At 55.4% G+C, this 26,051-nt stretch overlaps 1 protein-coding gene across 13 annotated transcripts, besides 2 other annotated features; it reads right to left on the bottom strand.

The window, feature by feature from the left end:
- Positions 1-112: 112 nt before the first annotated feature.
- On the bottom strand, positions 113-26,051 carry NPAS1 (neuronal PAS domain protein 1). 13 transcript variants are annotated; one of them, XM_047438882.1, is made up of 12 exons: positions 25,891-26,051; positions 24,719-24,882; positions 24,041-24,276; positions 13,537-13,610; positions 13,156-13,245; positions 9,759-9,924; positions 6,737-6,852; positions 6,324-6,484; positions 5,338-5,444; positions 4,763-4,910; positions 2,984-3,078; positions 113-697 (listed from the first exon to the last, which is right to left on the bottom strand). In XM_047438882.1, the coding sequence occupies exons 2-12, from the start codon at positions 24,838-24,840 to the stop codon at positions 237-239; spliced, it is 1,776 nt and encodes a 591-aa protein (XP_047294838.1). In that variant the 5' UTR covers positions 24,841-24,882; positions 25,891-26,051; the 3' UTR covers positions 113-236. The 13 variants fall into 13 exon arrangements, with proteins under 13 accessions (XP_047294838.1, XP_047294837.1, NP_002508.2 ...); XM_047438881.1 differs by having other exon boundaries at positions 5,158-5,444; positions 6,324-6,481; NM_002517.4 differs by having other exon boundaries at positions 6,324-6,481.
- Positions 13,652-14,153: an enhancer, noted in NCBI's record as "H3K4me1 hESC enhancer chr19:47534993-47535494 (GRCh37/hg19 assembly coordinates)". NCBI's record gives its function as "activates a minimal SCP1, AML or CMV promoter by ChIP-STARR-seq in naive H9 embryonic stem cells {active_cell/tissue: H9 hESC(naive)}" and the evidence as "EXISTENCE:reporter gene assay evidence [ECO:0000049][PMID:30033119]".
- Positions 15,078-15,179: a silencer, noted in NCBI's record as "fragment chr19:47533967-47534068 (GRCh37/hg19 assembly coordinates)". NCBI's record gives its function as "represses an EF-1alpha promoter that drives an FKBP-Casp9 reporter gene in an ReSE screen in phorbol 12-myristate 13-acetate-treated (for megakaryocytic differentiation) K562 erythroleukemia cells {active_cell/tissue: K562(+PMA)}" and the evidence as "EXISTENCE:reporter gene assay evidence [ECO:0000049][PMID:32094911]".

Here is a 26,051-nt window from a genome sequence, read left to right as displayed (position 1 = left end):
TTCCTTGGGAAGGGCGGCGAGGAGCGGACTAACTGGAGAGGCAGGAGGGCGGGTGGAGGGAGAGGGGGGTGAGGACCCGGGGGAGACAGAAATGGACAGAGGAGCTCACAGCCCGGAGCCCAAACCACTGCAGGGAGAGCCGGCGTTTAATTCTCAGGGCTACGGGCAGAGCCGGGCCTACTGTCCTGGGGGACCCCGGTTGTCGCAGGGTCCGGCGCCGGCAGCTCTGCCAGTCCTCAGTCCCCCTTCCGCGGCAGCCTGGTGCCCGCGGGCCCCGGGTAGGGCAGGCCCAGGGGCGGGTAAAAGGCCTCCGGGAGCGCGGGGCCCGGACCCAGCCTCTGCAGGTGCGGGTACACCAGGCCCAGCTCCGCGGGGCCGTAGCGGATGGTGCCGGGTGTGCACAGGCCCCGCACCACCGGCGGCAGGAAGCCCGCGTGCAGGAGGGTGGGCGGGGGGTCCCCGGGAGGCGCCAGGCCCCATGGCCGCACCGGATCCTGCTTCAGGACCCCTGCCCGGATGACAGAGGTGAACTCGGGCCTCGGTGTGGCCGGGTGGCTGGAGGGATCCTCGTCGCCACTGTCCTCGGAGCCTTTGGTTTCCCTCGGGCCGGGCTCCACTTTGATGCGTTTGCCCTGGGTCTGGGGGGCCTCGTTCTCCGCTGGGGCAGCCTGCTTCCCTTCCGTCGGAGGCTCCGGCTCTGGAAGAGGAAGATGCTGAGGGCCTGTGTGTGTCCCCAGCCCTCAGTCTTCCCATCTGTGGAATGGAGCTGTGCTTAGTGGGCCAGACCTGTAGTTCTCAGCTGGGAGTGGGGTTTTTTTTTTTGTTTGTTTGTTTTGTTTTTGTTTTTTGTTTTTTTGTGAGACGGAGTCTTGCTCTGTCCCCCAGGCTGGAGTGCACCAGCACCATCTCAGCTCACTGCAACCTCCGCCTCTGGGGTTCAAGCTATTCTCCTGCCTCAGCCTCCCCAGTAGCTGGGATTACAGGTGTGTGCCACCACACCCAGCTAATTTTTCTATTTTAAGTAGAGATGGGGTGTCGCCATGTTGGCCAGACTGGTCTCAAACTCCTGACCTCAGGTGATCTGCCTGCCTCAGCCTCCCAAAGTGCTGGGATTACAGGCGTGAGCCACTGTGCCCGGCCAGCTGGTTCTGTCACCAGGAGACACCTGGCAATATCTGGAGATATTTTGGGGTGTCACAGCCCTGGGGAGGTCACCATTGGCATCTAGAGGGTAGAGGCCAGGGATGCTGTAAAATAAACATCCCACAGTGTCCCCTCCAACACAGAATCACCTGGCCCTAAAATGTCAGTAGAGCAGAGATCAAGATACCCTGGTCTAGACCTGTGCTCTTCAGTGGAAGTTTCCAGGATAGAGCTTTCTGTGGTAATGGAAATGTTCTACATCCACACTGTCCCACGAAGCAGCCACTGGCCACATGTGGCCACTGTGCATGCAATATGTGGCAGGTGTGAGTGAGGACATGGATTTAAAGTGTTTTTTGTTTTGTTTTGTTTTGCAGGGCATGGTGGCTCATGCCTGTAATCCCAGCACTTTGGGAGGCCCAGGCAGGAGAATCACTTGAGGTCAGGAGTTCGAGACCAGCCTGGCCAACGTGGCAAAACACTGTCTCTACTAAAAATACTAAATTAGCCAGGCATGGTGGTAGGTGCCTGTAATCCCAGCTACTTGGGAGGCTGAGGCAGGAGAATCACTTGAACCCGGGAGGCGGAGGTTGCAGTGAGCCGAGATTGTGCTATTGCACTCCAACCTGGGCAAGAAGAGTGAAACTCCATCCCCCTAAAAAAATAAATAAATTTGTTTGAGACGAGGTCTTACCCCGTCACCCAGGCTGGAGTGCAGTACAGCTGTCACAGCGCACTGCAGCCTCTAACTCCCGGGCTCAAGAAATCCTACCACCTCAGCCTCCCGAGTAGCTGGGACTATGGGTGTGAACCATCACACCTGGCTAAGTTTTAAAATTTTTTGTTGAGATGGGGTCTCACTATGTTGCCCAGGCTTGTCTTGAACTCTTAGGCTAAAGCAATTCTCTTACCTCAGCCTCCCAAAGTTCTGGGTTTACAGGCATAAGCCACCACACCGGGCCTGGATTTTATTTTATTTTATTTTTTTGAGATGGAGTCTCACTCTGTCACCCAGGCTGGAGTGCAGCGGTGAGATCTCAGCTCACTGCAACCTCTGACTCCTGGGTAGAAGCGACTCTCCTGCCTCAGCCTCCTGAGTAGCTGGGACTACAGGCACGTGCCACCATGCCCAGCTAATTTTTTGTTTGTTTGTTTTGTTTTAAATCTTGCTCTGTCACCTAGACTGGAGTGCAGTGGCATGATCTCGGCTCACTGCAACCTCTGCCCTCCGGGTTCAAGCGATTCTCCTGCCTTAGCCTCCCGAGTAGTTGGGATTACAGGAGCATGGCACCATGTCCAGCTAATTTTTTTGTATTTTTAGTAGAGATGGGGTTTCACCTTATTAGCCAGGATGGTCTCCATCTCCTGACCTGGTGATCTGCCTGCCTCGGCCTCCCAAAGTACTGGGATTACAGGCTTGAGTCACCACTCCTGGCCTGGATTTAAATTTTTTTTTTTTTTTTTTTGAGACAGAGTCTCGCTCTGTCGCTAGGCTGGAGTGCAGTGGTGCAATCTCCGCCTCCCGGGTTCAAGCGATTCTCCTGCCTCAGCCTTTCAAGTAGCTGGGATTACAGGCGCATGCCACCACGCCCAGCTAATTTTTGTATTTTTAGTAGAGACAAGGTTTCACCATGTTGGTCTTGATCTCTTGACCTCGTGATCCACCTGCCTCGGCCTCCCAAAGTGCTGGGATTACAGGCGTGAGCCACCGCACCGGCCTGGATTTTAATTTTAATTGTATATAAATGGCTGCATGTGGCTAGTGGCTTCTGGAATGGACAGCCAGGACCCAAAGGTTCCTTGGAGCTTCCCAGGGGCCAAGGTGGGAGGTGGGGCTCACCTGTGGGCTCTGGCCCCGGGCTGGATGCCTCCTCACAGGCCACGCTGGCTGGAAGCTGGAAGGCATCCAAAGGAGTTTGGCCACCCTCGGCTTGGCTGGGGAGAAGATGGATGCGGTTAGGAGCCAGGGGTCCTTGGCCTCTCAGGACTCCCTCCTGCTTTACCCAACTTGTGGCAATGTGTGGACACTCCCACGGGGAAATGTGGAGTCCCCACCCTGAGGCACTTACAAGGCTCAACACCAGATCCCTAAACTCCGGGTTGACTTCTAGCCCAGCGTGGCCCTCGCTCCTAAGGCCAGACCTGGATAGCCGGTGGCCACCTGGATGTCACCACCTGGGTGTCCTCTGGCACCTCATGCCCATCTGATGTCTACATCTTCCTTTCAAACCTGCTGTTCCTCTCAGGAGCCCAAATCCGGGCTCAGCAAAGCCAGAGACCTGGGCAGAAGATGGTCTCCTCCCCTCCTCCCCCATAGAGTCTGGCACTTCCCAGGACTGGCCCCAGCCTCTGCCCTGGTCCTCCAGCGCCCATCTTGTCCCTCAGTGCCTCCTTCATGGCAGCTAGAAGGGTTTTTTTGTTTGCTTGCTTGTTTTTGAGATGGAGTCTCACTGTGTTGCCCAGGCTGGAGTGCAGTGGCATGATCTTGGCTCACTGCAACCTCCACCTCCCGGGTTCAAGTAATTCTCCTGCTTCAGCCTCCCGAGTAGCTGGGATTACAGGCGTGCACCACTATGCCCAGCTAATTTTTTTTAAATTTTTAGTAGAGATGAGGTTTCACTGTCTTGGCCAGGCTGGTCTTCAACTCCTGACCTCGTGATCCACCCACCTCGGCCTCCCAAAGTGCTGGGATTCCAGGCGTGAGCCACTGTGCCTGGCCTAGAAGGGTGTTTTTTCCTTTTTTTTTTTTTTTTTTTTTTTTTTTTGAGACAGGGTCTCACTCTGTCGCCCAGGCTGGAGAGCAGTGGCACGATCACGGCTCACTGCAGCCTCGACCTCCTGGGCTCAGGTGATCCTCCCACCTCAGCCTCTGCTGTAGCTGGGACCACAGGTGCGTGCCACTGTAACGGGCCAATTAAAAAAATTTTTTTTTAATAGAGATGGGACCTCACTTGGTTGCCCAGGCTGGTCTTCAGCTCCTGGGCTCAGGCAAACCACCTGCCTTGGCCTCCCAAATTGTTGGGATTACAGGCATGAGCCACCATGTCCGGTCTAGAGCAGTCTTTCTAAAAAGCAGATCTGACTATGATCCTCTCCAGCTCTAAAGCTTTCTATGACTCCCCAGTGCCCCTGAGCCAAAAGGCCAGGCCGTCATCTTCAGGCTGGTTTCTCACTGCTTTCTACTCCAGCCCAAGGCATTACCTTTAGGGTCAGGCTGTTGCTTGGAGCCCTTCCTCTGCTTGGAACACCCCTCCCTGCTTCTTTCCATTAGTTGCTGTGCTCTGTGGGCCTCCCCTGGTAAGAGCCTGCCGTGGCTCGCCAGTGCCCCAGAGTCAAGAGTCCAGACCCTCCACCTGAGCCTGAGGAGGCTGTGAGCCTGCCCCTGCCTTCCTCAAAGATACTGTCCCCCTCCCCCTGGCGACTCCTCTCTGTCTCCTGCCAGCAAGACCGTTCCACTCTGGGCCTCTGCTCTCACCATCCTCCCCTCCTTCCCCTTCGTGTCTGCAGACCCCCTGGGCTTGTCCCATTCTAGAAGCCCTCCCCAAAGCACCCCCACTGGAGGTGGGGAGAGACAGCAGGGCCCTGAGTGCCCTGCAGGAGGGGTGGGCACAGCCCTCACCTGAGCACGTGGCTGACCCAAAGCACATGGTGCTCCCCGGGGCTCTTCCCGCTCCCAGCCACTGTGGCCACAGACTGCAGCCACACGAAGCCCCCGGCACGCTGCAGCCAACGGTAGTAACCAGTCATCACCTGACCCTTGTCCAGCACTGGGCCCAGCCCAGGGAGAGATGGGAAGGGGGTGGGGTGGGGACAGGGGCAAGACAGAGAGCCAGGTAGACAGGAGGAGACAGGAGGAGTGAGAGCAGGGGAGTGGGCAGGGAGACGGTGGGGAGAAGAGAAAAAGGTGAAAGCACAGAGAGGCAGAGTCAGAGAGACTGAGAGGTAGCCCAGCAGCGAGGCCTCTTGGGTGTTTTGGAGACCCCACAGCCCCCCAGACCCCCCCCCCACACACACATCCTGAGGCATCACTCAGTCTCCTTGCTGCTCTTCCAATGCTAAACGGAGTCCCTGGAGCTGTAGGTGCAGCAGGAGGGACTGTGGGCAGCCCTGAAGAAGGACTTCCAGGGACCAGGGAGTGGGATGCTCGGGTCTGGGGGGTGGTAGGCAGGCTTGGTGGGTGGAGGTGGGTCTCACAGTCCACGTGGCTCTGGCGGATCCTCGTGGCGTCCTGTCCGTGGACAAACTGGTAGCAGCTGCGGCCCACCAGCTCTGAGGGCCCCAGGTCCATGTGGTCGCTGACTCTGGGGGGTGACAGAGAAGAGGGGAGGAGTCCAAGACCACGGGGTTGGGGGAGAGGCAGAGTTGGCTCCAGAGTCCCCTGGGGTTCACACCCTTGCTGTAAAATGGGTGCAATAACAGTGTTGGCAGGCGCGGTGGCTCACACCTGTAATCCCAGCACTTTGGGAGGCTGAGGCGTGTGGATCACTTGAGGTCAGGAGTTCGAGACCAGCCTGCCTAAGATGGTGAAACCCCGTCTCTACTAAAAATACAAAAATTAGCTGGTTGTGGTGGTGCACGCCTATAATCCCAGCTACTTGAGAGGCTGAGGCAAGAGAATCACTTGAACCCGGGAGGTGGAGGTTGCAGTGAGCTGAGATTGCGCCACTGCACTCCAGCCTGACAGAGTGAGACTCCATCTCAAAACAAACAAACAAACAAACCACAAAACAGTGTCTCTCCCGGGGCAGCTGCGAGTATTCGCGTGGATGCTAGTGGCAAGGCCCTAGGCACCCTGGACACCTCAGAGCATGGGACTATTTCAGCACTTAATTTGCCTCCACTGCGGGATGCAGGAGAGGAAATGGATGAGAGATGAAAGACCAGAGAAATGAGAAATGAAAGACCAGAGACGGGCCAAGATCTGCAGCCCCAGAAGGAGGGCCCGGACCCAAGACACAGCCCCTCTTCCATCCCCGAAGGCACCCCTGGGCTAGGCCTCCGCCCTGGTCCCCTGCCTTCCCTCCCTTCTCCCCATCACCCTGTCCCATCCATTGCTGTTCCGCCTCCCATGGCTCCCCAGTGCCCTATCCTGCAGACCCAGCACTCCCTCTGACTCCCCATGTACCCCCAGATCTCCATTGTGCCCCCAATCCACCCGCCACAGCCCCCAACCCCGGTACCTGCTCTCACAAGCAAGGATGGTGAGACCCAGGCTGAGACGGAAGACGATCATGTGTCCATGGAGTGGCAGCTCAGCCAGGGGGGCCGGGGGCAACGTGTGCCCGAGGGCCACAAGGCCCAGGGCGTGGGCCCGAAGGCGCCCAGTCACGTGGATGACCTGCTGGTGGTGGGCATGGTTGGAGGAGGGACAAGGCGGGCCAGTGGGGGCAAGAGGACCATCACTGGGCTGGGTTCCCTCTGTCCCCCACAGGTGCTGGAGGACTGGACACTGTGTGACCCCCCCAGTCCCATTCCCAGACCCAGTTCCCTAAGCCACCTGCAGCCAGTGAAGCCACCAGCCTGGTTCCCTCGGTCACCCTCAATCTGGGGACATGGCTGCCTGGAATACAGGAGCCTGACTGCTCACACCCACCTTGTACCCTGAGGCCTTGACGTGCAGCCCCCTCTTGGTGAGCGTGGATTTCATGCGGACAAAGAAGGAGCGCTCCTGGACCAGGGAGGAGGGGGGCACCTTGGTGAGGCTGGCCTCTGGGACAGAGAGTGAAGGAAGGTTATGGGGTCCTGAAGAGGAAACACACAGGCCACCCTGACCCTTGCAGAGCCAGCCGGACATAGACACAAGATGTCCGCTGGGCCACGGCCGCACTCAGAGGCATGCCTGATGATTTTGAAAGCTCATGGGGACAGTATGTGGGCTCCCCTATGTGGCAGCCATCCGCATCCTTTCTTTTTTTTTTTGAGACTGAATATCACTCTGTTGTCCAGGCTGGAGTGAATGGCGCAATCTTGGCTCACTGCAACCTCCGCCTCCTGGGTTCAAGTGATTCTTCTGCCTCAGCCTCCCAAGTAGCTGGGATTACAGGCACATGCTACCATGCCCGACTAATTTTTGTATTTTTAGTAGAGACGGGGTTTTGCCATGTTGGCCAGGCTGGTTTTGAACTCCTGACTTCAAGGGATCTGCCCTCCTTGGCCTCCCAAGGTGCTACGATTACATGTGTGAGCCACCATGTCTGGTCCCATCCATGTCTTTTTTTTTTTTTTTTTTGAGCTGGAGTCTCGCTCTGTCACCAGGCTAGAGTGCAGTGGCACGATCTCGGCCTACTGCGACCTCCGTCTCCCCAGTTCAAGTGATTCTCCTGCCTCAGCTTCCTGAGTAGCTGGAATTACAGGCACGCGCCATCATGCCCAGCTAGTTTTTGTATTTTTAGTAGAGACGGGGTATCGCCATGTTGGCCAGGATGGTCTCAATCTCTTGACCTCGTGATCTGGCCGCCTCGGCCTCCCAAAGTGCTGGGATTACAGGCGTGAGCCACTGCGCCTGGCCCCATCTACGTCTTTCTAATGCTCAAACGTGCCTCCACCCTCCCCTGCTCTGAACCTGCCATAGCTTCCTGAGGCCTTGAGAGGAAAGCCCACCTCTCAGGACCCATCCTCCAGGTCTCAGCACAGACTTCTCCTCCTCCAAGAAGCCCTCCCTGACCCTCAGGCTGGGTCAGCCATCCCCTCTGGGTTCCCCTATCCCAGCCCTGCCCCATCTGGGTTGCCACTGTCTGAGGACAGGTTGGTCTCCCCTCACTGGACTGGGAGCCCCAGGTGGGTGGGGCTGGAGCTGTCATGGTCACTCCTATGTCACCAGGACAGGGGCTGGCCCAGAACAGGGGATTGGGGAATAGCAATAAATAAGACTCACAAATCCAGATCCTTCTGTAACCCCTACAAAACGGTCTTAAAAATATGCTCACACACAGATGACCCTGTGCCTAAAACTCAGGTACAAACACAGTCCCACTCCCCAACAGCCTGCACGTGTTGCAGACTTCGCCCCACGCTTGCAAGCACAGCTGATGTCTCAGATGTTTTTGGTGTTAAGCAAACCCAAGATTGGAAAATCCTATTTACAGGATAGTTAGCCTCATAGGCCCCCAACATCTCAGAGCTAAAAAGAGCCGGCAGGGTAATCTGCAGCACCCTCCCTCCCATACACAGTGGGAGTGGAAATTTCCACTGGAGAGAAGGGTTAGGCGTGCTGACCCCGGAACAGACAGACCTGGGCTAGAATCCAACTCAATCACTTATAGCTGTGTGACCTGGGGGCAATTAACTTAACCTCTCCGCGCCGTGCCTCAGTTTTCTGATGTAAAATGGAGATAACACTTCTTGCATTGTGGGCCTGCGCTTAGGATCTAATGCAATTTTTTTTTTTTTTTTTTTTTTTTTTTTTTGGAGACGGAGTCTCACTCAGAGTGCAATGGCCTGATCTCGGCTCAGTGCAACCTCCACCTCCCAGGTTCAAGCGATTCTCCTGCCTCAGCATCCTGAGTATCTGGGATCACAGGCACCTGCACCACGCCCGGCTAATTTTTGTATTTTTAGTAGAGATGGGGTTTCACCATGCTGGCCAGGCTGGTCTCGAACTCCCGACCTCAGGTGATCCGCCCACTTCGGCCTCCCAAAGTGCTGGGATTACAGGCGTGAGCCACCGCACCCAGCCTTTTTTTTTTTTTTTTTCCAGACACTGGCTCTGTCACCCGGGCTGGAGTGCAGCAACGTGATCTCCTCACTGCAACCTCTGTCCCCAAGGCTCAAGCCATCCTCCCACCTCCCAAGTAGCTGGGACCACTGGCATGTGTCATCATGCCCAGCTAATGTTTTTTTCTTTCTTTTGTTGTTGTTGTTTTTTTTGGAGACAGTCTTGGACTCGCCCAGGCTGGAGTGCAGTGGCACAATCTCTGCTCACTGCAACATCCATCTCCTGGGTTCAAGTGATCCTTCTGCCTCAGCCTCCCGAGTAGCTGGGACTCAGGCACCCCCCACCATACCCAGCTAATTTTTTTTTTTTTTTTGTATTTTTAGTAGAGATGGGGTTTCACTATGCAAGCCAGGCTGGTCTCAAACTCCTGACTTTAGGTGACCCACCCGCCTCGGCCTCCCAAAGTGCTGGGGCTACAGCTTTGTGCCACCACTCCTGGCCTTTTTTGTAATTTTTGTAGAGATGAGGTTTCACTATGTTGCCCAGGCTGGTCTCCAACCGAGCTCAAGTGATCCGCCCCCCTGGGCCTCCCGAAGTGCCGGGGTTACAGGCGCGAGCCGCCGCGCCCGGCCCTAACGTAATTATGTAATGTGATTGTGCACTTACAGACACAGCCGGTGTATATTCCCAATAAGCCTGCCTTGTTATTTACCTAAGCCTCTCCCAACTCCTTTCAGCAGCCAGGGGGGTCTTTCTGTAGCTCGAATCTTTGGGAGTTTGGCAAGCTTAAGGAACCAAGTCTCACCGCCTCAATTTATACTCCGATTCCTTTTGCAAAGATTCGTTCTACACAGTTCTAACTTCACTGCTATTTGTATAAACGCGGCATGGCTGGATACAGTACAGCGGGCGTCCCCCGATCTACCCTCAGACTTCATTCTTTAGGAGCCCTTAGAATTACCGATCTCGGGGGTATCTGCAAGCGAAGAGGAAGAGGAGGAGGAAGAGGAGACGGAGGGCGGGGTTGGGGGGCCGGGCGTCGGCGTCCGCAGCCCCAGTTGCTCCAGCACCTCTGAGTGGTCCCCAGGGTGAATGTAGTCGAAGACGCTGCTGCCCGTCATCTCCACCTGCCGGCGAAGGAGGGGAATGCAGGGGGCGGGTGAGGTGCGCGCGCAGTAACTCGCTCGCCCTCTGGGCTCAGCCTTGCCTCATTTGCCTGCACGCAGGTGCGCTTCATGCCAGTGTGTTTTTTTAAGAAAAGAAAAAAACAAAAAACAATTACCTTTCAAACGGAAGATACAAACTTAGACTCTTCTCGCTTCATACCCAGTGATTAGTAAGGATTTTTCCCCGCCCACTCTATTAAGGGGCTGTGTGTGGGAGTGGGGCGTGGGTGGGAGGTGTCAGAACCTCCGTTTACCCAACTCCTGCTTACTCACTACCACCCCCATACAGCAAACAACTGTGCCCTGGCATGAATCACTGGGTGTCCCAGCAGGAATGAGATTCAAGATACAAACAGGGGAGTGGTTTTTAAGCTCTTAAAGAGTTAGAGCTTTTCAATCAGACACTTTTACATTCAATTCTACCCGTAAATCTCTCTCCTAGCAGTCCCCTTCTCTCCCTGCCTCCCTCAATGCAGGCCCCCATCTTCTCCCCACTGTGTTTCTGCCCCCGCGTCCTCACTGGTCTTCTGACCTACAGTTCAAAGATGCCTCTGCAAGTTACTTACCTGACCACCATGGCTGCCATGACTCCCATTGCCCCTCAGCTTGGAGGTCACATGCTTCCCTCAGTCCGTTATCCCTCTGGGCTCCGCCCCCTCATTAAATCCTCCCCCACGCCAGCTTCAACAGCTTCAAGCCTTTCCTTCTTCTTCTTCTTCTTCTTCTTCTTCTTTTTATTTTTTTAGACGGAGTTTTGCTCTTGTTGCCCAGGCTGGAGTGCAATGGCGCGATCTCGGCTCACCGTGACCTCTGCCTCCCAGGTTCAAGCAATTCTCCCGCCTCGGCCTCCCAAGAAGCTGGGATTACAGGCATGTGCCAACACACCTGGCTAATTTTGTATTTTTAGTACAGACGGGGTTTCTCCATGTTGGTCAGGCTGGTCTCAAACTCCCGACCTCAGGTGATCTGCCCGCCTCAGCCTCCCAAAGTGCTGGGTTTACGGGCATGAGCCACCGCGCCTGGACTTTTTTTGTTTTGTTTTGTTTTTGAGATGGGGTTTTGCTCTCGTTGCCCAGGCTGGAGTGCAATGGTGCAATCTTGGCTCACTGCAACCTCTGCCTCCTGGGTTCAAGTGATTCTTCTGCCTCAGCCTCTGGAGTAGCTGGGACTATAGGCATCTGCCAGCACACCCGGCTAATTTTGTATTTTTAGTAGAGACTGGGTTTCGCCATGTTGCCCAGGTTGGTCTCGAACTCCTGACCTCAGGTGATCTGCCTGCTTTTGCCTCCCAAAGTGCTGGGATTACAGGCGTGAGCCACCACACCTGGCCAAGCTTTTCCTCCACTCTTCCTCCCTCCCGTCCTCTTGTCCAAATTCCCCTCCTTTTGGTGTCTTCCTCCTCCAGGAATCTCACTGAAAAGGTACTCACAAGTTGCCAATGCACTGAATTTCCTAAATTTCCTATTTGTGAAAAATATTTGTAAAAATGATCAAAGTTGATAGCAATTTGTATTGGAGGGACTGGCAAAGCTTAAGGTGCTGTGAGATGCCAGGGCTCCAAGGATGGGGCTTTCAGTAGGTCTTCCTGCCCTTTTTTTTTTTTTTTTTTTGAGACGGAGTTTTGCTCTTGTTGCCCAGGCTGGAGTGCAATGCCACGATCTCGGCTCACTGTACCCTCCACTTCCTGGGTTCAAGTGATTATCTTGCCTCAGCCTCCCGAGTAGCTGGGATTACAGGTGTCTGCCACCACGCCTGGCTAATTTTGTATTTTTTGTTTTTTAGTAGAGAGACGGGGTTTCTCCATGTTGGTCAGGCTGGTCTTGAATTCCCAACCTCAGGTGATTTGCCTGCCTCGGCCTCCCAAAGTGCTGGGATTACAGGCGTGAGCCACCGCGCCCGGCCCTTTTTTTTTTTTTTTTTTTTTTTTTTTTTTTTTTTTTTTTTTTTTTAAGGCATAGCCTCACTTTGTTGTCCATGTTGGAGTGCAGTGGCTTCATCATGGCTCACTGCCACCTTGACCCTATGGGCTCAAGCGATCCTCCCATCTCAACCTCCTGAGTAGCTGGGACAACAGTGTGCCACCATGCCTGGCTAATTTTTAAGTTTTTTTGTAGAGATGGTGGGGGTGGGGGTGGTGGGGTGTCTCACTATGTTGCCCAGGCTGGTTTTGAATTCCTGGCCTCAGGTGATCCTCCTGGCTCAGCCTCCCAAAGTGTTGGGATTACAGGCATGAGCCAGCGTGGGTGGCCTCTAAACCTTTAAAATTGTTAAGAAGAAACAAGTGTTGGCAAATATGGTGCATCTGGCCCGCCAGTCATTGGCAAACTGATCTTTCAGTGAACCTGCTTTCCTCAGATCTACTTGTTACTTTAATAGCCCCCTCAGGCTGGGCGCGGTGGCTCACGCTGTAATCCCAGCACTTTGGGAGGCTGAGGCAGGCGGATTGCCTGAGATTGAGAGTTCAAGACAAGCCTGACCAACATGAAGAAACCCTGTCTCTATTTAAAAAATACAAAGTTAGCTAGGCGTGGTGGTGCATGTCTGTAATCCCAGCTACTCGGGAGGCTGAGGCAGGAGAATCGCTTGAACCCAGGAGGCAGAGGTTGCAGTGAGCTGAGATCGTACCATTGCACTCCAGCCTGGGCAACAAGAGGGAAACTCCAACTCAAAAAAAAAAAAATAGCCCTCATCAGCCAGGACAGTGGCTCACACTGTAATCCTAGCACTTTGGGAGGCCGAGGCAGGTGGATCACGAGGTCAGGAGATCTCAACCATCCTGGCTAACATGGTGAAACCCCATCTTTACTAAAAATACAAAAAGTTAGCCGGGTGTGGTGGGCGCCTGTAGTCCCAGCTACTCAGGAGGCTGAGGCAGGAGAATTGTTTGAACCCGGGAGGTGGAGGTTGCACTGAGCGAAGATCGCACCACTGCACTCCAGCCTGGGTGATAGAGCGAGACTCCGTCTCAAAAACAAACAAACAAACAAACAAAAAACAATAGCCCTCCTCTGCCTTCAAGGATGAACCATGCTGGGTGCCATGTGGGGTGCCAAGGAACACACTTTGGGGACCACAGAGATCCAGTCCATTTTTCTTGCTGCTATGGTGAGACCAGGAGAGAGGAAGGATATGCATAGGCCTGGCAAGGGAGATGGTGGCTGAGCCAATCCAGGTCCACTGGGGGTCCCTTACCTGTGAGAGACCCAGATAGATGGAGACTGTCTCTGAGATGTAGAGGAATTTTCCTTCCTGGTTCAAGGCGAACACAAAGCCATCCAGGGACTAGAGCCGGGAGAGACAGGGAGGGGGAAGGAGAGGACCCGGTGTCCCTCTGTCCAGCCGCCAAGTGGTAAGAGGTTCTGAAACCTGGGTCTCCACCTGAGGTGGACTGTTTTGGTGGGGAGGGGGCTTCAGTGGTCCTCGGAAGGGGCAGGGAGTGGAGGGATCTTGAGCATTCGCCTTCCCAGTCCAGGTACCCCCCACAATAGATGGATGCTGAAGAGGCTGCTGTTCTCCAGAGGCGGCCGCTAGGTGGTAGCAAGGAGCGGCAGGCAGGGAAGGGGCCTCACTCACCTGCAAGATGTGACCTCCCAGGTGCTGCTCGAAGACTTCGGAGACCAGCGCTGCGGGGCCGCGGCGGCCTGGGGCTGGGGCAGATGGAAGGATGAAGCCTGTTAGTCTGGCTGACCCTGCCCAGGGCAGGTCCCCCGGGAGCCAGTCTACAAACCTCCCTCTCTTCCCCTAAGGCTTGTAGACATCTTGGGGTATCTGGGCACCCATGGGGGAGAGACCTGGGGCGTGGGACACACAGGTGGGTGGGACAGTGAGTGACAGACTGACTCACAGAGACAGACGGGCCAGGGGGTGCATAGAGGGACTCATTCATTCATCCACCCATTCACTCACAAAAGCTCCCTGAATACCTACCCTCCCTATGTCCTGCACTAGGCATTGCTGGGAGTGCAACGGTGACCAGGACAGCCCAGCAACCCCTGCCTCCTGCTGGGCTCTCAGACCAGGGGCAGTTGAACAGCAAGCAAGAAACTAACATCTCTGCTTAGGGATCCCATAAAAATAAATAAATAAGAAACCAACAGGCTGGGCGAGGTGGCTCACACCTGTAATCCCAGCACTTTGGGAGGCTGAGGCAGGCAGATCACAAGGTCAGGGGTTCGAGACCAGCCTGGCCAATATGTTGGATCCCCATCTCTACTGAAAATACAAAAATTAGCCGGGTGTGGAGGTGGGCGCCTGTAGTCCTGGCTACTCGGGAGGTTGAGGCAGGAGAATCGCTTGAAACCGGGAGGCAGAGGTTGCAGTGAGCCGAGATCATGCCACTGCACTCCAGCCTGGATGACAGTGCGAGACTCCATCTCAAAAAAAAAAAAAGAAAGAAAGAAAAAAGAGAGAAAGAAAAGAAACCAACAGGCTGGGCGAGGTGGCTCATGCCTATAATCCAAGCACTTTGGGAGGCCGAGGAGGGTAGATCACTTGAGGTCAGGAGTTTGAGACCAGCCTGGGCAACATGGTGAAACCGTCCCTACTAAAAACACAAAAAAATTAGCTGGGCATGGTGGCGTGGGCCTGTAATTCCAGCTATTTAGGAGGCTAGGTAGGAGGATCGCTTGAACCTGGGAAGCGGAGGTTGCAGTGAGTCAAGATCGCGCCACTGCACTGCAGCCTGGGCAACAAAGTGAGACTCCGTCTGTTTAAAAAAAAAAAAAAAAAAAACACACACACACAAAGAAACTAACAAATATGGAATTACCCTTTGTGGCCAGTGCTATGGAGAATGAAATAGGTGGTGCAAAATGGAGAGTAATGGAGTTAGGGCTGTTGAAGGAGGGGACATTTGAGCAGACCTGAAGGATGAGAAGGAGGCAGAGAGGAGACTGAAAGACAGAGACAGAGGGATATAAAGGAATAGAAAGAGATAGAGATTCTACAACTCAACAACAAAAAGACAATTCAAAAATGGGCAAAGGGGCCCAGTGTGGTGGCTCACGCCTGTAATCCCAACACTCTGGGAGGCCAAGGTGGGTGGATCACCTGAGGTCAGGAGTTCGAGACCAGCCAACATTATGAAACCCCATCTCTACAAAAATTAGCTGGGCATGATGGCGGGTGCCTATAATTCCAGCTACTCGGGAGGCTGAGGCAGGATAAATCGCTTGAACCCAGAGGCAGAGGTTGCAGTGAGCTGAGTTAGGGCCATTGCATTGCAGCCTGGGCGACAGAGTGAGACTCTGTCTCAGACAAAAAAAAAAAAAAAAAAAAAAAAAAAAAAAGGCAAAGGGCCAGGCACGGTGGCTCATACCTGTGATCTCAGCACTTTGGGAGGCTGAGGTGGGAGGATTGCTTGAACCCAAGAGATCAAGACCAGCCTGGGCAATGCAGTGAGACCCCCATCTCTACAAAAAATATATTTTTAAAAATGGGCAAAGGACTTGAATAGATACTTCTCCAAAGAAGATACACAAATGGCCAATAAGCACATGAAAAGATGCCCAACATCATTAGTCACTAGGAAAATGAAAATCAAAACCACTATGAGACACCACTCCACACCCGCTAGGATGGCTAGCATCAAAAAAGTAGAAAGTGGCCAGGCGCCGTGGCTCATGCCTGTAATCCCAGCACTTTGGGAGGCCGAGGCGGGTGGATCACAAGGTCAGGAGTTTGAGACCAGCCTGGCCAACATGGTGAAATCTTATCTCTACTAAAAATATAAAAATTAGCTGGGCGTGGTGGCGTGCACCTATAATCCCAGCTACTTAGGCGGCTGAGGCAGGAGAATCCCTTGAACCCAGGAGGTGGAGCTTGCAGTGAGCTGAGATCACACCACTGCACTCCATCCTGGGTGACAGAGCGAGACTCCATCTCAAAAAACAAACAAACAAAAACAAAAACAAAACAAAACAAAAAACACAGAAAGTAAGTGTTGGTAAGGATGTGGTGAAATTGGAACCCTCATACATTGCTGGTGGGAATGTAAAATTGTACAGCCACTGTGGAAAACAATTTGACGGTTTCTCAATAAGTTAACATGGAATTATCATACGAGTTAGCAAATCCACTTCTGTGTATGTAATCTATGTAATCAAAAGAATTGAAAACAGGCGTTGTAGCATGTACATGCGTGTTCATAGCAGCATACTTCACATCATTCAAAAGGTGGAAAGCACACAAATGTCCAACTCATGAATGAGTAAATAAAATGGGGAGGCCGGGCACTGTGGCTCACACCTGTAATCTCAGTGCTTTGGGAGGCGGAGGTGGGTGGATCACCTGAGGCCAGGAGTTCAAGACCAGCCTGGCCAACATGGTGAAACTTTGTCTCTACCAAAAATACAAAAAATTAGCTGGGTGTGGTAGCATGTGCCTGTGGTCCCAGCTATTCGGGAGGCTGAGGAGGGAGAATTGCTTGAACCCGGGACGTGGAGGTTGCAGTGAGCTGAGATCCCACCACTGCACTCCAGCCTGGGCAACAAGAGTGAAACTGCATCTCAATAATAATAATAATAATAAATAAAAATACTAAGGCCGGGTGCAGTGGCTCACGCCTATAATCTCAGCACTTTGAGAGGCTGAGGTGGGCAGATCACCTGAGGTCAGGAGTTCGAGACCTTCCTGGCCAACATAGTGAAACCCTGTCTCTACTAAAACTACAGAAAAACTAGCCGGGCGTGGTGGTGTGCACCTGTAGTCCCAGCTACTCTGGAGGCTGAGGCAGGAGAATCACTTGAACCCGGGAGGCAGAGGTTGCAGTGAGCCGAGATTGTGCCATTGCACTCCAGCCTGGGCAGCAAGAGCAAGACTCCATCTCAAAAAAACAAAAATAAAAACAAAAACAAACAAACAAACAAAAACTAAAAAAAAAAATAGACATGGAGAGACAGAGGAAAAGAGATGCAGAGAGAGACAGAGATGGCAACTGAGACCAAGACAAAGTGAGACCTGTGCCCCCTGCCCCATCCTCCCTACAGTCAGGAGCTAGGACCCTGGACCTTGTGCTGGGGGTAGGCAGAGACCTGGGGGTCCCGGAGCCTGTCCCCACCCAGGACCCCTGGGTGACCCTGACCCTGCAGAGGACAACCCCCGAGGGAGCTCCAACCCAGTGCTGAGAGTGGGGAGCCAGGGGAGAGACTTGGTGACCTTGAGGGTCCCCAAGTGCCTTTTTCCTATGGGGCTAAGGGGCCAGGTCTCCTGTCAGGCCCCAGCGCTTCCCCTCCCTGGCTGTGTGCCCTGGGACCAGCCTCTCTGCCGCTCTGTGCCTCAGTTTCCTCCTCTGTCAAGCGGGTTTGCCAGGAGCGGTGACTCCCCAGGCTGGTTACGCATTCAGTCCACTTAACAGACAGAAGGGCCTGGCTGGGGCCTGGCAGAAGCAGATGCTGCAGCACAGAGCCGGGACTGGTATTAATAGTGTGATTACTATTGTTATTACCCGACCATCAAAACACCAGGCGGCGAAACCCCGCCCCTCCCCCATGGGCGCGCAGCCCCCGCCTCCCCAGCCCCCTAGTGTCTGGGCTGAGCTTCCTCCTCCCAGGAGTACCCCACACCCTCCTGGCTGTTCCTCCCTGCCTCCACCTCCGCCTGGAGCTCCAGGAACAATTACTGGGGGGCTGGGGGGTTGACGGGGACCCCCTCCCTCAAGATACAGCTCGGAACCAGCCGGGTGACAGGCAGGAACAATGCTGCCTGCTAATTGTCGCAATTTTCCCCTGTCATTTTTGCTAATTCCTTCATTTTCCCTCTCCCAGGATCAGCCTGGGTCAGACTGAACCGCTGCAATTAACAACATTAATGGGCACGTCGGGATTAGGGGGTGTGGTGGTGGGGGGGCTTGGGGACCTGCTCTTCCCCATACACGGGTCCGGTCCCCTGTGAAAGGGACCCCCAGAGTCTCCTGATCACTGACTGATGTGTCTTTTTACCCCCAGCCTCCACCTCCCGATCCCACCAACTCCCCGATGCCTCCCGCTGTTTCCTCCTCTCCCTCTCCCCTCAAAATGTCCCCACTCCTCTGTCCCCCACATTCAGCAGGAGACTTTTCACCACTTCCACATCCGCCCTCCCATGTCCAGAACCCAAACATCACTCATCCATTTAACAAACACTTGCTGTGGTTCTTATCACAGCCTGCTCAGTGTCCTCATCTCTTGCGCAGAGAGGGAGCACGAGGAGCAGAGAGACGGGAGACCAGGGGCAGAGAGAAGGGGACCAGGGGCAGACAGACAGGAGACCAGGGGCAGAGAGAAGGGAGACCAGGGGCAGACAGACGGGAGACCAGGGGCAGAGAGACGGGAGACCAGGGGCAGAGAGACGGGAGACCAGGGGCAGAGAGAAGGGAGACCAGGGGCAGACAGACAGGAGACCAGGGGCAGAGAGAAGGGAGAACAGGGGCAGAGAGATGGGAGACCAGGGGCAGAGAGACGGGAGACCAGGGGCAGAGAGACGGGAGACCAGGGGCAGAGAGAAGGGAGACCAGGCGCAGAGAGAGGGGGACCCAGGGGGCAGAGAGAGGGGGAAACCGGGTGCAGAGTGTGGGGGGACCTGGGGCAGAGAGAGGGGGGACCTGGGGCAGAGAGAGGGGGATCCAGGGGCAGAAGGCAGAAGCCAAGGCCTCTTCCAAGTTCCCAGATCTCCCCCGTCACCTGCCCTTCTCAACTGCCCTGAAGGAATGTGCTGACCCTGGGTCCTGGAGAGAAGAGGCTGGGGCTTCATCACCCAGGGAAGTCGGGGAGAGGGGTCCCTCACATGCCCCATCGTCAAAGCGCCGCAGGCCTGAGGGCTGCATGGGGGCAAGCACCATGGGGTGGGGCAGTGCCGGGTCACCTTTGCCTTTACTTTCCTCAGCCTCATCTGTAAAATGGGTCTACAGTGATAGAGTTGAATGGGCTAGTGCATACAGTAGGTGCCTAATACTGGGAGTCATGCCACCATTCTCTCTCTCTCTTTTTTTTTTTTTTGAGACGGCATCTAGCACTGACACCCAGGCTAGAGTGCAGTGGCAGGATCTCAGCTCACCGCAACCTCTGCCTCCTGGTTCACGTGATTTTCCTGCCTCATCCTCCCAAGTAGCTGGGAGTACAGGCACCACCACCATGCCCGGCTAATTTTTGTATTTTTAGTTGAGACGGGGTTTCACCATATTGGTCAGGCTTGTCTTGAACTCCTGACCTCAGGTGATCCACCTGCCTCGGCCTCACAAAGTGCTGGGATTACAGGTGTGAGCCACCGCCCCGGCCGCACTTTTCTTTTCAGTATGACTACAGATAACATCAGGGCACCACTGCCTTTTCGGGCGGTTTCTTGGAGGCCGCCCTCTGTGTCTCTCACACCCACATGCATTTTAAGCAAGTCCCAGGGGTTGGACCTGACCATGTCACCTGTGTTCCACCACCCATGGCCCCAGCCCAGTCTAGCTGCCCTGGCTGGACCACCACGTCCTCATCCTCACTGGGCTCCTACTTCCGCCCTCACCACCTCTGTGGCTCCCCTCTCACTGTGGGTAACAGCCAAACCCCTACCACAGTGCATGAGGCTCTGCACCCAGCAAGCTGATCCCCACCTGCCTCAGGGCCTTTGCACCTGCTGTTCCCTCTGCTGAGTCACTCTCTTCCAGCTTTTCTCACAGCTGCTCCCACACCTCCTTGGAGCCTCAGCTCAAAGATCACTTCCTTGGCTGGGCCCAGTGGCTTACACCTGTAACCCCAGCACTTTGGGAGGCTGAGGTGGATGGATCACCTGAGGTCAGGAGTTCAAGACCAGCCTGGCCAACGTGGCGAAACCCTGTCTCTACTAAAAATACAAAAATTAGCTGGGCATGGTGGCGTGTGCTTGTAACCCAGCTACTTGGGAGGCTGAGGCAGGAGAATCGCTTGAACCTGGGAAGTGGAGGTTGCAGTGAGCTGAGATCGCACCACTGCACTCCAGCCTGGGTGACAGAGCAAGACTCTGTCTCAAAAAAAACAAAAAACAAAAACAAAAAAACGTTACTTCCTCAGCGAGGATGTGCCTGACCTATGAGCTAAGAAGTCACCCCTTGGCTGGGCACAGTGGCTCATACCTGTAATCCCAACACTTTGGGAGGCCAAGGTTGGCAAATCACTTGATCCCAGGAATGTGAGAGCAGCCTGGGCAACATGGTGAGACCTCGTCTCTTAAAAAATGCAAAAAGTAGCTAGGCGTGGTGGCGTGTGCCTGTAGTCCTGGCTACTTGGAAGGCTGAAGTGAGAGGAACTCTTGAGCCTAGTAGGTGGAGGCTGCAGTGAGCCAAGATCGCACCACTGCATTCCAGCCTGGGCGACAGAGCAAGACCCTGTTTCAAAAAAATTTAAAAAGGGCTGGGTGCGGTGGCTCACACCTGTAATCCCAGCACTTTGGGAGGCTGCGGCAGGCGGATCACCTGAGGTCAGGAGTTTGAGACCAGCCTGACCAACATGGAGAAACCCCATCTCTACTAAAAATACAAAATTAGCTGGGCGTGGTGGCGCATGCCTGTAATCCCAGCTATTAGGGAGGCTGAAGCAGGAGAATCGCTTGAACCCAGGAGAAGGAGGTTGCAGTGAGCCGAGATCATGCCATTGCACTCCAGCCTGGGCAACAAGAGCAAAACTCCGTCTATAAATAAATAAATAAAGATGTCACCCCTCCTTCCCTCAACTGCCACAGTCACTCAACAATTTAGTAAGCCTTCATTGTGTCCCAGATGCTACTCCAGGCTCAGCAACCAAGAGGCTGTTGGTGAATGACACAAAATAACAAGATAAATACAGAGAGTGTCAGATGACAATAAGTGCTATGGGAAGAAAGAAGGCTGTAAAAGCCGGGCACGGCGCCTCACGCCTGCAATCCCAGCACTTTGGGAGGATAAGGAGGTCAGGAGTTCGAGACCAGCCTGGCCAACATGGTGAAACCCCATCTCTACTAAAAATACAAAAAATTAGCCAGGCGCGGTGGCAGGCGCCTGTAATCCCAGCTACTCGGGAGGCTGAGTCAGGAGAATTGCTTGAACCCAGGAGGCGGAGATTGCAGTGAGCAGAGATTGCAACACTGCACTCCAGCCTGGGCAACAAGAGCAAAACTGCGTTTCAAAAAAAAAAAAAAAAAGCAATAGGGAATGCTGACATGAGATTTGGGCGGTCTCCTCTCCAGACTCAGAGGCTCAGGGCTAGACTTGAACATCTGTTGTCCCATTTCACAGATGGAGGACTGAGGCCCAGAGAGGCAGAGACCTAGAACCCATCCCTGTAGACCTACAGACCACATATGATGGTTGAGAGGCGGCCTTTGGGGCAAGGTCATCTGTGTTTGAATCCCAGCTGTGCGACCTTGGGCACACACTTCTGTAACTTGGGAATCATAATAGTGCCTCCCTCTGAAAAAGAAAGTCATTTTATCTTTTGTTGTTGTTGTTGTTTTTCCTTTTTCTGGAGAACGGGGTCTCGCTATATTGCCGAGGCAGGTCTCGAACTCCTGGGCTCAAGCTATCCTCCCGCCTCTTGCCTCCCTGAGAGCTGAGATTACAGGCGTGAGCCACCGCACCCGGCCAAGAAAGTCATTTTGTATACAGGGCTTATCCCAGGGTCTGATGCATGCATTCTATATGATTACTATTATTGTTATTATTTTAGATACTGAGTCTTGCTCTGTTGCCCAGGCTGGAGTGTAGTGGCATGATCATGGCTCACTGCAGCCTCGACCTCCTCAGCTCAAGCAGTCCTCCCACCTCATCCTGTTCAGTATCAGGGACTACAGGCGGGTGCCACCAAACCTGGCTAATTTATTTATTTATTTTTATTTTTATATATTTTTTGAGATGGAGTCTTGCTCTGTCACTAGTCTGGAGTGCAGTGGTGTGATCTCGGCTCACTGCAATCTCCGCCTCCTGGGTTCAAGTGATTCCCCTGCCTTAGCCTCCGGAGTAGCTGGGACTACAGGCACACACCACCACGCCCGGCTAATTTTTTGTATTTTAGTAGAGATGGGATTTTACCATGTTGGCCAGGATGGTCTCGAACTCCTGACCTCGTGATCTGCCCGCCTTGGCCTCCCAAAGTGCTGGGATTACAGGTGTGAGCCACCGTGCCCAGCCAATATTTTTATTTTTGTAGGGACATGGTTTTGTTATATTGCCCAGGGTTTTGCTATGTTGCCCTGGCTGGTCTCGAACTCCTGGCCCAAAGCTTTCCTCCCACCTTGGCGCCCCAAAGTGCTGGGATTACGGATGTGAGCCATGGTGCCCGGCTTATTACTGAGGAGGGCATGGGAGTCCCCTCCCCTTCAGAGAGTGTGACTGACAGTGCTCTGCTCTGTGGCTTCAGCTAAAATGCTGTCCTCAGCTCCTCCTCTGAACTATGGAAGCAGGTGCTTCGCCTCTTGTTAGGGACCCTGTAGAGCTAGAAATGCCTCTGTCCCCCGATTTCCCAGTTTTGGGACTATAGGAGTCCACGCAGTACCAAGCCCCCCCACACTGTCCTGACCCTACTTCCACTTGGCACCGTGGTCGAGGTGGGATCGATTAAGTCCATGCTCTGCCACGTCAGTGCTGTGACCTCAGCCAGCCCCTGATGCCTCTGAGCCCCGGAATGCTCATCCAGGTAATGGGGGGCTGGACGCCGCCGGGGCTCTCTTAGCCCCCCCTTTCCCCCCCTTCAGCTCGGGGACAATAGACAAGATGTTTATCCCCCGCCGGCGCACATGTTGTTCGCGGTAATGACAGTAATCAGCGGCGCTAATGCCGCATTCTCTCCGCGCCAGTCAATTCGCCTAATTACCGCCTGGGAAGCCGGATTATTTAAATTTAAATGGTGATTTATTGCGAGCTTAATCAATGCTATTTTCTCTCCCCCCTCTTCCCCTGGGACGGGGCAGGAGGGGAATTGGAGCCCCTCCAACCCCACCCTAAGGACACCCTCTTCTCCTGGAGGGGTGGGGACAGGGGTAGCCTGGGGTGCCCTGAGACTTCAGATAAACACCACTCACACTGCCTTATCCTCATCACCGCAAAGCTGTAACAAACACATAAAATAGAAGTAATAATAACATAACAGCACTTCTATGTCTCAATAATAAAGTCTGAGTAATAATAATAAACTTAGATATTTATCTGTATCTTACAGAGTTTATATTTTTACATATTCTAGATTATATTGCTTTGCCTATTTCTTTATTGCGTCTTGGCCACTAGGATGCCAGCCGCTCCGGGGCAGGGACTTTTGTCTAGATTGTTTCTCCTGCTCAATCCCAGCGCTCAGAAAAGTGCCAGACAGGCAGGAGATGCTCCAAAAGCGACAGCCCCCCCGCCCCCTCCTCCATGCCCCGAACCCCTCCAGCAGCCCTGCAAGGTTACTGCTGATAACAGCATTGGCCGCATAGCGGTGGCTTGCTCTGAGCTAGGCACTTCCAGGGACTTTGCAAATATGACCTGGTTGATTCTCTGCTCAGCCCCCTGGGGGAGGTTGGACCGTTTTTTCCCACTTCACATTAAGGCACAGAGAAGTGAGGCGACCTGCCCGGGGTTGCAAAGCTGGGAGGTGGCTGCGCGGCGACAGGAACCCTGGGGCATCTTCCTGAAGTTCCCCATCTCATCCGCCACATCATACTGTCTCCCTCTTGCTCCTCCAACTGGGGGCTCAGACTGTACAGTCCTTGCGTTCCCGCCGGGGCCCCTCAGGTCTGGATCCAGGGTATCTCGCCCATTAGCGAATGGGCGTCCCAAGCCAGGGTGAGTCCCCTCTGTCCCGCTCATGCAGCTGGGAGTTTCTTTGGTTGTAATAATGATTCCTCTCCTCTAATAAAAATATAGGAATAGCATTTACCAGTGACCACTAGAACTGCCAGGGCCTTGTTTAGGGCAGAATTCACGAAATCTTCCCAACCTCTTGCGCCCATTTGACAGTTTAATAAACTGAGGCTTGGAGAGCAGAAGCCACCTGATAGGGACACGCAAAGGTCCTGGCTGACTCCAGAGACAAGCATCTGGGCGAGGGCAGGCCCGCAGCCCGGATCTGGGCTGCAGTGACTCCGCCTGGAGGGCCCCGGGACCCTCGCCCCGCGCATGAGCACTCACCGAGGCCAGCTGGCGGCCCCGCGGCTCTCAGCCCCCAGGGCGGCGCCCCCAGCGCGGCGAACCGGCGCAGGCGGAGGTAGGTGACGCTGAGGCGCACGATGGAAGCCTTGTCCAGCTGGCTGGAGATGGCGCCGGGCAGCGGGAGAAGCTTGGCCAGCTCGAAGAACTCCAGGTTCTCCTTCCCGCGCCGCGAGCGCGCCGCGTTCCGGGACTTCTCCTTGCGCTGCGCCTGCAGGCTGGGCGGGCGGCGCGGAGGAGGTGTCGGCGGGGCCCCGGGGCTCAGGGGCTTGGGAACTGGGGGCGAGCCCCGCCTCCCGGGGCCTTGGGAACGGGACGGGACGTTGGGAGTGGATTCCACATCTCTGGAGGTGGGAGCAGACCGGAGTGTGGATTTTACACTCCGACCCAGGGACAGAACCTCGAGTGTCAATTCTGGTGGGAAGGAGGAGGAAGGGCGAGAGATTAAAGATGTTGGGCGTGAATTCTGAGGACCGGGACTAGAAGCAGAACGCAGGGGACCGGGCTCAGGACGGTAGTTAACTCAAGGTAAGACCTTCTAGCCCTAAGGGGCGGGTCAGGGAGCTGGGTGTGAACTGCCCCTTGGCACGGGGACAGAACATCGGGTGTGAATTGGACCCGGGGGGGGGCCCGCGGCCAGGGGGGCGGGGCTTTGCTCACCACGGTCCGGACGGCGCCTTGACCATCAGCCCGGGTAGAAAGTCCCAGGGGACGCTGGCGCCGCGGCCTCCCACGCATTTGACCTCGCTTCCGCCGCCACTGCCGGGATAGGGGGCCGCCATCTCCGGGGGGCTCGCTCAGGCGGGCTCCGAGCCCCGAGTCTCCTGCAGCGGGAGGGGGCCAGGGGCAACGCTTAGTGCCCTCGGGAGACCTTCTAGGGAAACTGAGATCCGTGCAGGGCTCAGGGTCCCAGCAAGGAGCTGGGGGGGGGGGGGCCTGGATGATGCCTCAGTTTCCCCTACCTGGAGGCCTCAGCTCCCACCCTAGCCGGCCCGGGGCTGGCGCTCCGGGTGAGGACGTGCCCCGCCGCCGCCTCCCCCGCGCCGCCCGCCAGCGCGCCCGCCTCACGCCCGCGCCGGGCCGGCTCCCGCATACCAATGGGCGCACGCGGCGCGCATACGGATCGAACCGGCCCGCGCGCTGCGTGCCAAGCATGCCCAAGCCGGGCGGGGGGCGGGCGCCTCCCGGGCCAGGCACGCACGCCCCAGCCCCCGGAGCCCTCTGCCCCGAGGACCCGCCCCCCAAGCCCATCCCCGGTGTCTGACTCCCCGGATCTGCACCCTGTTTTCCCGGCTGGGCTAAGGAGGCAGGGGGCAGAGGGCAGGGACCCCCATCCTGTGTCCTGCCCAGGGATCCCCCCAGCCTCTCGGGATGGCGCCACGTGTTCGGACCGCCACATCCCCACGACCACAACTTCCTCCCTGAAGACCCCGGCGCGCGAGCCCCAGCCCCGGACGCAGCCGCCGCAGCCTCTGCCCCAGGACGCCCCCAGGATTGACCCGACACTCGGGGCCCAGGTGTCCTGGTCTCCTGATCCCCTAACGTTTTCAGTTAGGTCTTCATTCCTCCAGGACCAGGCGTTCAGAACACCCCCTAACCCCAGGAACCAGGCCGCCCCCAAACCTCCCAGCCAGGTGTCCAGATGCCCCAGACCCCCGTGTCCAGGTCTCCCAACCCCAGATTTCTCCAGGACTCAAACATCCGTGCGCCCCTTCCCCCAGGCTCGGGATACCCTCGTCCCACCCCCTATCCCCCAGGACACTGGAGTTCCAGCCCCCCATTCCTCTGGGACCCAGAAGTCCCCCTCCTGCCAGCCCGCAAGCTTCCCCTACCCGCAGGACCGCCAGTCCGATTACTTGGCCGCAGAGCAGGCTCCGGGCGCGGCGTGGGGCCGGCCGGGCGGCGCGGAGGGGCAGCTCCATAGACCCCGGGGCGCGCGGGGCGCAGCGGGACGCGCGGGCTGTGGCGCCCAGCTCTCGGCGCCCACCTCGGC

Source organism: Homo sapiens, chromosome 19 (genome assembly GCF_000001405.40).
Source record: "Homo sapiens chromosome 19, GRCh38.p14 Primary Assembly".
NCBI lineage: Eukaryota > Metazoa > Chordata > Mammalia > Primates > Hominidae > Homo > Homo sapiens.
The sequence above is the reverse complement of the archived record's forward strand: the minus strand, read 5'-3'. Positions and strand labels throughout refer to the sequence as shown.

Excerpts from the sequence above, each read along its gene's own strand:
- NPAS1 (XM_047438881.1), bottom strand. The coding sequence starts at position 24,840 with ATGGCGGCCCCCTATCCCGGCAGTGGCGGCGGAAGCGAGGTCAAATGC. Across the intron at positions 4,911-5,157 it reads ACTGAGTGATGCCTCAGGAT|TGCTGGACAAGGGTCAGGTG; the intron begins GTGTGTGTGGGG and ends GGCTGGGCCCAG. Across the intron at positions 3,079-4,762 it reads TGGGTCAGCCACGTGCTCAG|CCAAGCCGAGGGTGGCCAAA; the intron begins GTGAGGGCTGTG and ends TCTTCTCCCCAG.